The sequence below is a fragment of the Homo sapiens genome, chromosome 2 (genome assembly GCF_000001405.40).
Source record: "Homo sapiens chromosome 2, GRCh38.p14 Primary Assembly".
Taxonomy (NCBI): Eukaryota; Metazoa; Chordata; class Mammalia; order Primates; family Hominidae; genus Homo; species Homo sapiens.
In genome coordinates this window covers 70,922,038-70,936,678 of record NC_000002.12, presented here as the reverse complement: position 1 = coordinate 70,936,678, position 14,641 = coordinate 70,922,038, and the positions used below count along the sequence as shown (strand labels likewise).

Genomic DNA, 14,641 nt, shown 5'->3' with positions numbered 1-14,641 from the left:
GCATAAGCATGCAGTCACACATTTCCTTACCCCAAGTGAAGGTGGGAGCACCCCCTAGGCACATGCTCCTACCTGCTTATGCACACAGGCACCCTCCTCAGAACACACATACGACATGCACCCATTGATGTGACGCACACGGGGCACCTATTTCCTCAGGCTGAGAGCGCTGACACTCTGCACTGCCACACACACCACTCCAAGTACACTTAATCACACCCCGCCTGACTCTGAGTGCTTGGGTGCACACTCCTCACACAGGCACGTTTACACAAGAGCAGGTGCACAGCACACCCCACTCTCAGGGGCAACTGGAAGCTATCTCTGGACTTCGGGTGTTACAGCAGGATTGGGCTGATGACAGCTACTCCCCAGCCCTCTCTTCTGGGGTGGGCTGGGCTGGGGACCTGCAACCCTTCACCTGCAGAGGTGGCCTCTGGTCCAGGTGGCCCCACTGCGTCACTCTGCTGGACAGAGAGCCCTCCAGGTCTCCCCAGGTCTTGGGTCCTCCTCCTTTTCTGAGGCAAGAAGCGGGGCCCGGGAACCTGGCAGCCCACCCCAGCTCCCCACCCTGACCTCACCCGTCACGGTGGAGGGGCTACTCACTGACACGGGGGTGGGTGATGTAGTTTCGGGTGACCGCCTGCATGTGTTCTCGGGCTGCACCTAGGTTGCAGCTACTGCCGGGGAGCCCCCCAGGCCTGCTGTCTATCTCCATGGCCATGGAGCAGTCCCCAGCTGGGAGCCCAGTGTCTGAGCCTGCTGCTGGTGGCAGCTCTGAGACTTCAGGTCCAGCTGGAGCTGGAGAGAGCTGCTCAGCCTTCCCCTGCAGCCACCCCTCCCCTCTCCCCCTCCCCTCCCTCTCCTCCTCCTCTAGGTTGACAGTAAACAAGGAAGCCTGGGGCTCTGGCTCCCAAGCTTTCCCCACACCAAGCTGTGCAGGTCTGGGAGGGGCCCCCGTCACCTGAGAGCTGGAGGATGTGGAGGGAGAAGGGAAGAGGGGAGGGCTGGCTTTTTCCTTCTTCTGTGCTAGGCGGTTCCTCCCCGCCAACCCCAAACTGTATGAATTCAATTCCTCCCCTGGACCATCAGGTGCTGTCAACATTCCCACACTCGTCCCTCACCACAGCTCTTTCTGGTCTCTCCACACCCAACTTCTGGCAGGCTGCCCTTTCTTCACTGTTCTCGCAACCTGACCTTACCCTGCACTCCTTGCCCTGACTATACCTGGATACTTCTGCCCCCTGACAATTCCATCGTCATCTTTTTGAACATCTGTAGAGAATTATTTCCTGGTCAGCCTCAGTGCCATCTCCTACATGAAGCCTTCTCTGGATTCTCTAGCAGCCAAGATTTACTACACATCTAGCCTCTTTCCTAAGTCATGCCCTTTAGGAGAGGCCTCTCTTGTCCCTGCCACTGGGCTGTGAGCCCCCAAAAGCTGAGCCTGTGTCTCAACCCACAGACCTGGGTCTCCTGAAGCCTGTCTGTCTCATACTATTGAGAGTTCTTGAGAATGAGGGCTGGTCTCTCTCCATCTGATCATAGAACCGTGTCTCATCTTCTCACATTCACCTCCAGATTTCTATACAGCAGGCCTGCCCTGACCTTTCCAGCCCAGGTCAGAAAGTAAAATGGAGGTCCCTGTATTGTATAACTAAATACCTGGAGTTATAAATCAAACTATGTGCACAGCCTGGCCTGGGTTCCACCCAAGACCTCACCACTGCTTCCCAAGAACTCTCTCTTCATGTCATGAAACTAAGAGTTGTGGTTTCTCCTGGTGAGTGGAGTGTGGTACAGTTCCTCTGGGCAAGGCAGGGTGGACCCTGGGTGGTAGCTGGACCTGCCCAACCCAAGGTCTTCTAGTCACCCCCATGCCTCATTCTAGGCTCAGGATTTCTGCATTTCTAAGCTCCTCCCCAAACCATACCACTGAGCAGAGGGAACGGCAGAAGTACATTTGCCTAGGGATCACTGTCCCCAAGCACCCACTCCAGGTGACTCAGGACAGCCAATTTGAAACCAAAGCAGCAGCTACTATGTTTCTCAGAGCAGACTGGAGGAGACTGTGCTTGTTATTTCTCTTCACAGAGTCAAAATCTTACCCCGCATCCTCCCTCCTGAGGACCCATTTCAGGTCTCTGGTTCCTAATGCCCATCCTTTCAAAGAACTCTCCTGTGGAGGGCGGGGGTGGGTGTGACCATCAAGGAGCAGCATGAGGAAGATCTCTGTGGTGATGGAACAGGTCTGCATCTGGATTGCAGCAGTGAGTCCATGAATCTATAAAATGACATGGCACTATGCACACACACGGTACCAATGCCAATTTCCTAGTTTTGATATTGTACTATAGTTAGGGAAGATGAAGCCTATCTGTCTCATACTATTGAGTTCCTGCCAATGGAAGGAACTTCTCTGTCCTATCTCTGCAGCTTCCTGTAAATCTATAATTACTGCAAAATAAAAAGTTAAATAAAAGAGTCTTGAGCAAGACTCTTATTTAACTTTAAAAAAATTTATATTGTTTGAGCAATATGAAATATATATAATATGTATGTGTGTGTGTGTGTGTGTGTGTGTGTATATATATATATATATTTTTTTTTTTTTTTGAGTCAGAGTCTCCCTCTGTTGTCAGGCTGAAATGCAGAGGCATGATCTTGGCTCACTGCAGCCTCCACCTCCTGGGTTCAAGCGATTCTCCTGCTTCAGCCTCCTGAGTGGCTGAGATTACAGGCGCCCGCCACCATGCCCAGCTAATTTTTGTATTTTGAGTAGAGATGGAGTTTCCCCATGTTGGCCAGGCTGTGTATAGATATTTTAAAGGGTTTCATGTTGCAGTTTGTGATGGGTAGGCCGTCTCTAAACATCTGGACTCTTGCTTGTGTTTAGCTTTGATGCTCTCTCTCCCTCTCTCTCAACCTGGTCTCCCCTTTCACCATTCACCCTCTTCAAGGTGACAATGTTTCCCTCTCTCAAGTATTTTTATGTTTGAAAGAGAGCTTGTAAAGGGCAACATTTAACCAAAGAATTCGTGTTGGTGCCATGGGCTTCTATTGAGTGGGAATCAGGTGCCTGCTGACCGACACATGTGAGTCCCCTGACCCCCAGAATCCCAGTTTCTGCCCTCTCCCATCTGAGGTCCCTCTGACTCTAAGCCCATTTTCCCTTCCAGTGACAAGAGGGATAGAAGGGATTGAGGGGTAAGTAGTTGTGCTGTGGGCACCATTTCCCTTCTTGTCATTGTTTTCCTTTTATTTCAGTGAGAGACACACACACTCACACTGCACTCACGCACACAAGCTGCGGGACCAAGGCCATTTGGTCACGAGTCTCTGAGCTGGGGGGCAGGTGGGGAAGAGTGTGTGGCTGCAGCCCCTCCTCTCCGGGGCCTGCTCAGTGCTGTCCGCTGGGGCACAGGAGACTGGGAAGGTGCTGTGCTCGGGACTCAGTGTCACAGGGTGGGAGTCTTAAGTGTTAGCTTTCTTGCAGCTGCTGGCGCTGCCCACTTTCCGTTCTAGCCAGCTGTATGGCTCGAAGGCCGAGGAACCCAGTTCGTAGCCGGCAGGCAGATCCAGGAGCGGGGCCGAGGAAAAGCAGACAGCTGGCAGAGGGGGCGGCAGTGGGGGGGACGCTGAGGCCGAGGACAGCGGGTTGAGGCGTGGGGAGGAGTTCCTGGGGTCACCTAAGGAGGTGCCCCTGTGGCTGGCAGGTAGGCCTGGCAGGCTAGGGGTCAGCGCCAGGAGGCTAGGGGCCCTGGGCACAGAGAGCAGCCGGCCCTGCTCCAGCAGCCGCAGAATGTTGGAGGTGGCAAAGGCCTCGGAGGCTGAGGAGGACGCCCGCTTCTCCAGGTCTCTGCTCTGGTCTTTCTTCTGCTTGGTGCGGCGGTTCTGGAACCAGACCTTCACCTTGGGGTGGGGGAGGGGGTGTCAAGGAGGGAGATGGGACAGGCAAAGCAAAGTGGGGGCAGGTGGGAGGAGGAAAGGAGAGGAAGGGCATGGGGTTGGGGCAGGTGGTGGATGGGGGTGGGGGTGGGGTGTGAGGGTGGAGCAAGAGGGAAAGAAGAGCAGATTGTTGTTAAGGTCTCCCCACAACCATCCTGCTGTAGGCGAACTGATTAGGGACTCTGGTCCCCCAAATTATGGAGGCCCCTCTACTACTAAACTGACTCTGGCCTAGGATGGAGGAATGGATCGACAGACAGAGAATGGAGTTTGGGAGTACAACTGATGTTCTCCTCTTGGCCCACATGCCCTTGGCTCAAAGTCAAGTTCACAGCCTCAGCCACCATTTATGTGCTGGTAATTCCAACTCTACCTCAGGCCCAGAGATCTGAACTGAGATCCAGGCCATGTATCCACCTGCCTGCTAGACATCTCCCCATGGATATCTCAAAAAACACCCCAAACCCCACATGTGCAGCTCTGTCCTCCAAACAGAGGCTTCCCACGCTCCCTCTTCCATCATGGCTGCCTCCACTCACTCATGCAGGAGCCTGTCTCCCAGCTGCCTAGAACAGACCCTCCTCTCTCCCTTTGTTCTCTCTGACCTGGACCGTGGCATTGTCTCTACAGCAGCACCTCTCGACCCTGGCTGCCCATGAGAACCTGGGGAGCTTTAAGCCCCTAACTCACTTCTCACCTTGGACCAATAAACTCAGAACGGGGGAACCTGGGACCCAGACTTTAGTAGTTTTTAAAGCTCACCAGGTGATTCCAAGGTGAAGAAGCCAGTGTTTTAAAGGTGTCTCTGCCCCAGGTCTAAACTGTAACATCTAGAGGGCTGGGGCAAGAGAAAAAATGGAAGCCTCTGGCTCATGGCCCACCCTGGCTCTGACCCACACGTGTGTGGCTGCCCCAGCCTGTTCACAGTCTGCAAATAGCCCCCCATTGGCCGCTTCTTGGGCCTGGAGTGCTGAATAATGTCTGTGGTCTGCCCTTGGGAAGACTGACCCTGGAGAGGCCCAGGCAGGTGCCGGATGTGGCTCAGGGCCATTTGGCGGGGAATTCTGAAACTGGACACTTTGTTGGCAGGGATGGGTGGTCTCAAAGGTGGGCACAGGCTTCTGGCAGGCGAGACCCCTTGGCTTTGCAGAGTCCTCATTCCGTAGGGAGGGGCATGACCAGAGGAGGGGCCAGATGCCTGTCTGGGGATGGTGAGGTCTCTGCATCCATGCTGGCCGCCACGCTGCCTTTGGAGGGAGCTCTTTCTAACCCAATCTGGCCATTGCCCGGTTTGAAGTTTTTAGCAGCACCCTCCTACCCCATCACCTATAAAGGCCAAGTTTCTCAATGTGACACCAAGTGTGACTGGATGTGGCAGGTTGTTGAGGGGGACTTCTGTTGGCCACACATTCAAAGCTGAGGACAAAGAGGTGCCACAGTCTGAAGAAAGTCACCAGAATCATGGAAGAGGTCTTTTTCAGGGCCTCTGAGAGGAGGCAGAACTGGCCCTGCCTCTACTACCCAACACCCAGTGCTCCAAACCCCTTCCTACTCTACATGAGGAAAGGGAACTGGGCAGGAAGCTGAGGCTCAGTCCCCTGGGGGCCACAAAACCTCATGGGAGGAAGGGTGTGCTGCCCTGCAGATGCAAGTTGGGGGAGGGCCCAAAAGAATCACTTGTAGGCACTAGAAGGAGAGACTGGCATTCATGCCCCACTCCAGAAACTCATCAGGCCACAGCATCTACAGGCCCATGTCATGGAGGCCACCATGGGAGCACCCAGACTTGTTTCCCTGGGAACATAGAGGCCAACCCTGCTCCTCGCCTGGAGCTGGGGCAGGTGTACCGGCAGGGAGGGTGAGAACCGTGGAGGGGAGGGCCCAATAAGAAAAGGTCAGGAAGACCTTGCTGGTTCCTTCCAGCTTTTGGAAGATTTAATAGTCCAGCAACTGCTGTGGTTTTGAGAAGTTGCCAAGAGATGGGTGGAGGAGAAGGCTTGAGCCAGAGGGCTGCCCAGGTTAAGAAGACAGGCAGAGCCAAGACAGACTGGGCCACCTGGGCCATGCCAGACATCACCACCTGCTAGGAGTGACTGGCCCTTCAGCAAAGGCCTTCAGAAAGTGAGGCCTTGGTGCTTCCCCTCCTCACACCAGAAGATGTCCAGTCTTTTAAAAAGATCTCTGCCTCCTTGAAGCCACCCCCTGTCGTCTGATCCTGGAGGAGGTGGCTGTTGGGGGAAGAGGGAGCAAGTGACTGAGACAGATCACAATCCCCTCCAGAGGCTGCACTGGGAGGAGGTAAAGAGTGGGCAGGGGTCCTTTTGTAGTTCTTCAGCAGGATGACTGGGTGTTCATGCTCCTATGTGAGATGTGCTTTCCTCAAACCTCAAACCTTGCTGGCAAGCAGTGAGTCAAGGCTGTTCTGAGTGGGGAAGCAGGTGTGGGGCTTCAGGAGAAGATGAGATTTAAACTAGATGTGAGTTGGTGTTTTGAAGGACATTGGATTGAGTTTATTTCTTTATTTTTGTTTTTAGAGACAAAGTGTTGGTTTTCTGCCTGGGCTGCAGTACACTAGTGTCATGAGAGCTCACTGCAGCCTCAAAATCCTGGCCTCAAGTGATCCTCTTGCCTCAGCCTCCCAAGTTCTGGGACTACAGGTGCACACCACCGCACCTGGCGGATGCAGATTCAATAATCAAAAGTGACCAGAAAGTTATGAGACCTACTTGAGGTTGATTGCTTCATTTATCCATTCATTCACTCACCAGATATACATTGAGGCCCAGGGAATCAGCAGTGAACAAAGCCCAGTGAATCCTTGCCACGTGGAGTGGGCGGTGGAGTTGGGGAGGCAGAGGATGAACAACAAACACAAACAAGCCTGTCTGTCAATTGGCAGCAAGGGCTTTGAGCCGTGTTTCTCAAATGATTTGAGGTGAGGACCACTTTATAAAGTGTCCAATTTTGTTGAGGACCAATACTTTAAAAAATACAATTAAAATGAATTACTGGAAAGATTGCTATATACATTGTTTTTTTTTTTTGAGATGGAGTCTCACTCTGTAGCCCAGGCTGGAGTGCAGTGGCATGATCTCGGCTCACTGCAACTTCCACCTCCGGGGTTCAAGTGAGTCTCCTGCCTCAGCCTCCTGAGTAGCTGGGATTATAGGCGTGTGCCATCACACCCAACTAATTTTTGTATTTTTGCTAGAGACAGGGTTTCACCATGTTGGCCAGGCTGGTCTCGAACTCCTGACCTCGTGATCTGCCCACCTCGGCCTCCTAAAGTGCTGGGATTACAGGCATGAGCCACCGCTCCAGGCCTTTTCTAAATACCTATTCTTTATTTCTATACTTACCATGTCATAGACAGGTAACAGTTTATGGGCTGGCAGTGGCCCAAGGGCCATACTCTGGGGGGCACTGCTTTAGAGAAAGGTGGCAGGATAGCAGAAAGGAAGGAGGGGGGTGACTGTTTTGTTAATGGAATGGCACATACAGCCTCCCTGAAGAGGGGACATTTGAAGAAGATATCAGTAAGGGATGGTCAAGGAAGATTCAGCCAAGTCTAGCTGAAGGCAATGACTGGAAAGAAGAAAACCCTTTCCCATTTGTCACCTCTGGAATCTGACTGCTGAGGGAAGGAGTCTCACCAGATCCTCAAGGACCATAGCGCTGCACACTGCTGCATTCCCCCTCCCTGCTGGGAAGCTTCCTGACCTCTTAGCCAAGCCAGCACCTCCCCGTCCTAGGACCTGAGGCCAGGCCACCTCCAGGAACCCCTGAGCCTCAGTGTCTTATCTTTAAAATGGGGACAATAATACTTGGCTATTGCAGAGATGAAAGAAGAAAACCCATTTAGGGAGCTTGGCATCACGCCTGGCCCACAGGAAATGTGAATAGTTATTTATCGCTGGCTTTCTCTGTTTCTAGCTCTGTTTCTGAACTAGAGGGAGAGGAGACACAGATGTCATGACTCCAGTCCTTGGGAAGCTGAGGGTCTAGTGGGGGAGTGGCACTAACTCATTCCCAAAAAACAGAGGGCAATTCGTACTCAGGGAGTGGCAGTAATGGGGTGTGACAGATGAGGAATGACCAGGCATTTACAAGGTGCTCTCCCACATATCCCATCTTCCTGCAGCTCTGGGTGTAGCAAGGAGAGGCGGGTGTGGGCTGGTGCTGGGTTTGGGCGTCTCCTGAGAAGGTGAGCCTGGACCCTAGGAGAGGAGAAGTCAGAGGCAGATGGAGCAGGGGCTGGGACCAGGGGTGCTTGTTTCTTGGCCACATATGGGCTAGGTCAGGAATTCTCAACCTTGGCCGCACACTGGAATTTTCTGGGATGATGTCCGGGCCTCATGCCTCACCCATATTAAATCAGAATCTCTAGGGAATGGGGCTGAGGCCTGGGTATTCTTCTAAAGCTCTGTGGGTGAATCTAATGTGCTTCCCAGCATTGCAAACTTCAAGGGTGAGAGTAAGAAGGGTCAACTCTCTACTTCCCACCATCAAGCCCATCAGGCCCACCAAGCCTATCAGGCCCTTCAGGCCCTAGCGGGTAGGTTCACAGGGCCCTGCAAATGTTGTCTCTCTGTCTTTCTGAAGAACAGACAGGCTCAGAGCCCTCTGAATGTGTCCCTCCTGCCCCAGGAAACCTTCATTTCCATCTCAGGTTCATCCTCTTCTCAAGGTTAAATCCAAAGTGATCGGTCCTTATCCACTTCTGGGAAACCATTCCTAGCCGACTTCACAGGGTGGCGGGGCCAGCACACCTCCGCAGCTGTGCCTCTCCCCTCACCTGCCCAGTGCACCTTCTGGGCTGTCTCCCTCCTCTGTTTTCTCAGGGTCCTGTGTGGCCTCCTGGAGGCTGCCATCTTGACTCCCTGGGACTCAGTGAGTGCTTGGTGGCTGCCCCGCCCCCCTCCGCGATCTCTTGCTGGGCCACACTGTGACCCATGGCACTGCCCCCTCCCTGATTTCTTTCTGGGCCACACTGTGATCCATGGCCGCGCACCAGGAGATGGGCACAGTTTCCACTTGGCTGCCAGGACTACAGAGGAATTTTCCAGGAGATTATCCACCAGCTTCTTTGGGCTCATGGTCAATATCAAATTCCAGGATTCATTGTTGATCTGGAAATGGCATTCATCTTTTGAAGACTGTTTTCTGTGACCATGGGCCCATACTTAATCTGAGGTGAGTGGTATCTGTGTATCTAGGATGGCTTGGTTTTTGTAATCTGCACTAGGAAGGTACCATCTATCGTGCTGTTCTGGAAGAAGCCATCTGAGGCAGAGGCATCAAGCATGAGGCTGAGGACAATGCTGAAGGGCTGGAGCAGCTCTTACCCAAGCTAGGTGGGCATCCCGGGGGGATATTGGGACTTGGCAGTTTGTTCTCCACCTGGCTCCTGGGCTCCTGGCCCTGAGAACGTCCTCCAGCCCAGCTGCAGGAGGGGAGTCCTGAGCCAGCTTCTCATCTTCCTTTCCTCTGCAGCCACATCCTCTTATGTCCTACTTGGACCCTGGTACTCTGGTCATTCATTCAGGCAACACAGAAATATCAAGCATTTGATGCAAGCCAGGCATTGCCAGGTGCTGAAAAAACAAAAATAAATAAAACTCCATTTTGACCCTCTTGGCTGTCAGACACTAGCAGGGTGGGTCATGGGCAAGCAGTAAGTGTTACAACACGGTAAGTGTTTTGGTTGAAGTAGCAAACAATATAGTGGAGGAGACAATATATAGTAGCAAACTATCGTGGAGAATCAGAGGTCAGACAGCCACTGATTCAATTCTGGTTCCCTTAACTAGCTAGATGACTTAAGTCAAGTTACTTAACTTCTTGGAGCCTCAGTTTCCCCACCAGTAAAATGGGGTTCTTAACTCTTCCTCATAGTTTTGTTGTGATGACTCGGTGGGCTAATAATCACAGACTTATTAAAGTGCTGGCAGTTGATGAAGTCTTTTAAGCAACATGGTGATCACATCATCTGGTCAGATTTGCTCACTTTTCCATAAGCCAGTGATTCTCAGACATCACTGTGCATTAAATCACCTGGAACAAAAAATATATAGGTTGTGGGGTCTTCCCTAGAAATCTGACTGGGAACCTCTGGGCTGAGGGTGGCACAGGCATCTGTATTTTACCCCAGGGGAGCTGTACGTACAGCTGGTCTCCAGAGCATACCTTGAGAAATGCTGCTTTAATCAAACACCAAACTTTCTTTTTCAAACAAAGCATGGTGACAAGGTGTATCAGAAGGTTTCTAAAACCAAGGAGAACTGGACTAAGTGGGGCTGTCCATGTTCTCTGACATGAGAAGAACTTTCAGTGTATGCTACCCTTGGGCTGACAAAGGTGGGCAGAGGGTTCTTTTGATAGTCTTGAGAGAGAGATTCCTCTGAGGCTGCCCCTGCTCTCCAGGGCAGCCATGCTTAGCCTCTGTTGCACAGCCATGGAGTCTGGGCAAGGCCGGGACAGAGGTCAGCTGCACTGTGTCTTGTTCACTGTTCCTACTCTGGTGGACCCTTTGTCCTGTAGAGCCCTGTGAGTGGTGGAGAGCCAAGGAAAGGGCTTCGCCATTCTGCCTGCCCAATCCTGTAAGTGGGTTTCAGATTTAAATCTGCAGACAACTGAGCTGAATTGGGCATGCTAGATTAAAGAAGAGACTAGCCATGGAAATGGGCCCTGAGCAAGCTCTGTGTTTTCTCTGCCTGAATTGGGACCATGCCTGGGTCCTCTGAGTATCCAGGGAAGAAGGTAGAGATGCTATTTGGCAGAAGGAAGAGAAGAGAAAAAAGAGAGGAGAAGAGATAAAAAGAGAGGAGAGGAGAGGAAGAAACAGAGAGAGAAGCAGATATTTTGGAGAGCAGTTGGAGCACATACTCAGCAGAGCACTGGGAGGAAGTTCTGTGAGTAGCTGGTGCTGAATCCCTCGGGCCCAAAAGAGCCTTTGGCTTCCAGTCTCTTCCAATTCCTGGCTACACCATGGTTCCTGTTATTGAATTTCAACAAGGCTATGGCTTCTGTTTTTAATCCCTGGGGAGTCCATCCATTATCTGAGGGCACTTGAAGGAATTTCTTATCTTTTCCCCCAAAAGAGCTCTGACAGAGACTCTCAGATAACTTAAACCAGAGAAAAACCAGCCCTCCCCCCAAAATCTGACATGCTTTCTTGACATCTCCGCTGGGATCTCAAACTTAACTGATCCAAAACAAAATTCTTGATTATGCTCCCACCATCTTGCTTCTCCCCCAGTTTCTCAACTCATTATATGGTGTCACCATTCTCCCAGTTGTTCTACCCAAACCACTTCCTTTCCCTTGCCCTGGGCGTATAATCCATGAGCAAGTCCTAATATGTTCCAGCACTAAATTAGAGTGCCTCTCACATTAGTACGCTTCTCTCCTCCACCACTGCTCTGTTCAGGACCCATGTCAGTAGTTCCTACCTGTCCACACCTGTCCACTCCTTTCCCCTGTGGGTCCCTTCCCCAAGTGGCAGCCAGAGAACCTCTGTAAAATGCCAATCATCTCCTGTCACTTTCTCTTCAATGTATTACCATAGTCTCTAAGCATCGCATGATCCTCCCCTACCTACTTACCCAATTACCCTGTAGCTCCAGCCACTCTGGCCTTCTGATACTTCTAGAACATTCTATGCCAATTCCTGCCCCTCACGTCTTCATAGTTACCGTCTGCCTTGACGTCTCCTTCTGGCTCCTCATCTGGCTGTTTCTCCCTTGCCACTCAGGCCTAAGCTCAACGTCATCTTCTCAAAGAGGCCTTCCCTGAACACCCCAGTAAAACACTTCCTTTTAGTCTCTCTCCTATGACCCCATTTGAGCTCCCTCACAACACTCATCACTCCTGGAAATGCGGTTTGTCTTTGTCTCTGTGGATCTTAGCTGCACGAGGGCAGATGCCTGGTCTGTTTTGTTCTAAGCCAAAGCCCAAGTGCCTAGAAGAGTACCTGCTATATAGTAGGTATTCAATAATATTTTTGAACAAAATTATGGGTGAACATACTGAGAATGCCACAGAATTCTAGCTACAAGTTAGTTAACCTCTCTGAGGCTCAGTTTGCTTAAATGGGGATAATAGTACCCATAAAGCCATCTTCATGGGTACTATTACCCATGAATGCACCCGCTGCAAGTCTTGAGCAAGTTATCTATTTAACTTTTCTATGCCTCAGTTTCCTTCTATTTAAAGTGGAAACAATATACTCTTATTGGCTGGGCATGGTGGCTCACACCTATAATCCCAGCACTTTGGAAGGCCGAGGAGGGAGGATTACTTGAGACCAGGAGTTCCAGGCCAGCCTAGGAAACAAAGCGAGACCCCGTCTCTACAGTAAACATAAATAAATAAATAAATAAATAAGACTTACTGTTGTATGCTAATGAGGTGATTCAGGGTGGATCTCTAGGTAGTTTCAGGACTGGGGCTGGTTCTAGAAAGACCATACTTGTGATTAGAGGGTAGAAACTTTCAGCCGCCCCCATTCTTTCCTTCTAGGGAGGGGAGGGGAATGGAGATTGGATTATAGTCTTTTTTTGTTTGTTTTTGAGATAGAGTCTTGCTCTGTCATCCAGGCTGGAGTGCAGTGAAGCTAACATGGCTCACTGTAGCCTTGACCTCCTGGGCTCAAACAATCCTCCCACCTCAGCCTCCCAAGTAGCTGGGACTACAGGTGTGTGCCACCACACCCTGCAGTTTACAGTGTAAACTGTAAAAAATGTTTTAAAAAACTTTTTTTAGAGATAAGGTCTCCCTCTGCTGCCAAGGCTGGTCTTGAACTCCTGGACTCCTGAGCAATCCTCCCTCCTTGGCCTCCCAAAGTGCTGGGATTGCAGGCGTGAGCCACTGTGCCAGGCCGGCCTGGATTTAGTCTTGAACAAGGAGACCAGGAGAACTTCTGGTTGGCGAACACGTGGAAGTGCTGGGAATGGGGGCACTGGAAACGGCATGGGAGCTCCACGCACCTCCCCCTTACCTTGCCCTTTGTGTCTCTTCCATCTGGCTCTTCCTCACTCGTGTCATTTATAATAAACCAGCAAGTGTAGGGGAGGTGTTTCCTGAGTTGTGTGCGTCATTCTAGTGAATTGTCAAACCTGCAGAGGGCGATGTGGGAGCCCCCGGTTTTAGGCCAGTCCATTCAGAAGCACAGGTGGCTCCTGGAACTTGAGTCTGCTGTGGCACTGTCTTGTGGGACAGAGCCCTTAACTTGTAGGGTCTGTGCTAGCTCTGGGAATTAGTGTCAGTATTGAACTGTTGAATATACTCAGTGATGCTGGAGAATTGGAGCACTGCCTGCTGGTGGTTGGAACATACCATACACCTGGTGTTGGAAGAAAAATCTCACACGTATCCCATAAGGTTGTGGTGAGGACTAAACTAGTTAGACTATGTCACACCCTTGGAACAGGACCTGGTGCATGGGAAGCGCTCAATAAGCATCAGCTGTCCATTACTTTTACTATCTGTCAACCCTAGGACTGGGGACAGAGGAAGGAGGGTTGTAGTGAGAACAGTGCGGAGGACTTGCTGAGGGCCTACTATGTGTCCAGCTGTGTTCTGGGCTCCTTGTGAAGCACGACGAGGAGCCATGGCCTATAAATACATTCTTGTCCTAGGGAAGCAAATACTGGTGGACATCCAACACCACACACATGTACACATGCACACACGTGCACACACACACACACACTATCTGTCTCTCCAGGTCACGCCATGTGGAAGGGTCTCTTGGGAAGAGGGCAAGGTGCCTGCAGAAGGCTTCCTGGAAGAGGGGGGCTTGGGCTTGACCTCCAAGGGCAGCTCAGTGTAGGGAATACGGGCCTCAGTGACTTCCCCAGGAGTTCTGGCCTGGCCCTGCCACTGCAGCCTCCTCTCTGAGCACAAGCCTGGCTTCCCAGCCCCCTGTTGAGCCCAGCTGGAGGGAGGCCCCGCAGGGTTGTTTGGGAGCTCTGCAGTGGCAGCTGGGGAAAAACAAGTGCAGGTGGAGATGACCCGGCCCTGCAGGACAGCAGCTGCTGTCCTTCCCCGGCCTTCCCCTCCTCCCGGCCTGCCCCTCCTCCCGGCCTGCCCCTCCTCTGCCTCTCACCCCTTCTCACCTCTTCCTCTGCCCTACTCTCAGTGTACCCCAGGAGGAACCTGCTAACCTCTCAAGGGGACCAGGAGGACTTCCAGGCGCATCTGACTACCCCCTCCCCAGGGGTGGGCTGCACAGCACTCTGTTGGGGGGATTTGAGGGGCTGGAGGAATTATGCTGAGGGAAACAGGGAGAGCTGACCTCACTGAGGCAGGGACACAGGGGAGGACAGCAGCCACACAGCACAGACGGGAAGCCCTCACTCCAGCACAGCCTCCCGCCTCGCTCCAAGGAAGGAAACCAGCACACTGCTCCAGACCAGTGCTTCCGCATTCCCCTCCTCCCTTCCTCTCCACTTTATCAATCCTGTTTTGGCCGTCGTTTACAATGCATGTATTGATTGATCTCCCTCATATATGAGAGCAAACTACTAGAGCTCTGGCTGAAAGAAGGGTCTCTGAGTTATTCTTTGACAATCTCAAGGAAGGTTGCCCAGTTTATAGGCAGCATAAAGATGAGAGACTGCTTGTCCAAAGCCCAGCTCCGGAACTAATTAGTTGTCTGACCTTGGGCATAACTTCCTTTCACGTGTAACAT

General features: G+C 51.8%; 2 protein-coding genes and 1 pseudogene across 4 annotated transcripts in view; 1 reads left to right on the top strand and 2 right to left on the bottom strand.

Moving 5' to 3' along the window:
• The window catches only part of ATP6V1B1 (ATPase H+ transporting V1 subunit B1), a 29,532-nt gene extending 28,753 nt beyond the window's left edge, over nucleotides 1–779 (bottom strand). Inside the window, exon 1 of the mRNA NM_001692.4 lies at nucleotides 607–779. Coding sequence (NP_001683.2) covers nucleotides 607–724 — 118 coding nt within the window. The 5' untranslated portion in view covers nucleotides 725–779. The remainder of the gene's footprint in view (nucleotides 1–606) is intronic.
• Nucleotides 3,233–14,641, bottom strand: part of VAX2 (ventral anterior homeobox 2) — a 32,871-nt gene continuing 21,462 nt past the window's right edge. The window contains exons 3-4 of one of the 3 annotated variants that reach the window (XM_011532751.4): nucleotides 12,341–12,403; nucleotides 5,862–10,002 (exon numbers count right to left, since the gene is read on the bottom strand). In XM_011532751.4, the coding sequence (XP_011531053.1) occupies nucleotides 12,386–12,403 (18 nt within the window). In that variant the 3' untranslated portion in view covers nucleotides 5,862–10,002; nucleotides 12,341–12,385. Of the gene's footprint in view, nucleotides 3,913–5,861; nucleotides 10,003–12,340; nucleotides 12,404–14,641 lie in introns of those variants that run through there. The other 2 variants (XM_011532750.4, NM_012476.3) reach the window with 2 other exon arrangements.
• Nucleotides 6,264–6,376, top strand: LOC124906188 (uncharacterized; annotated as a pseudogene).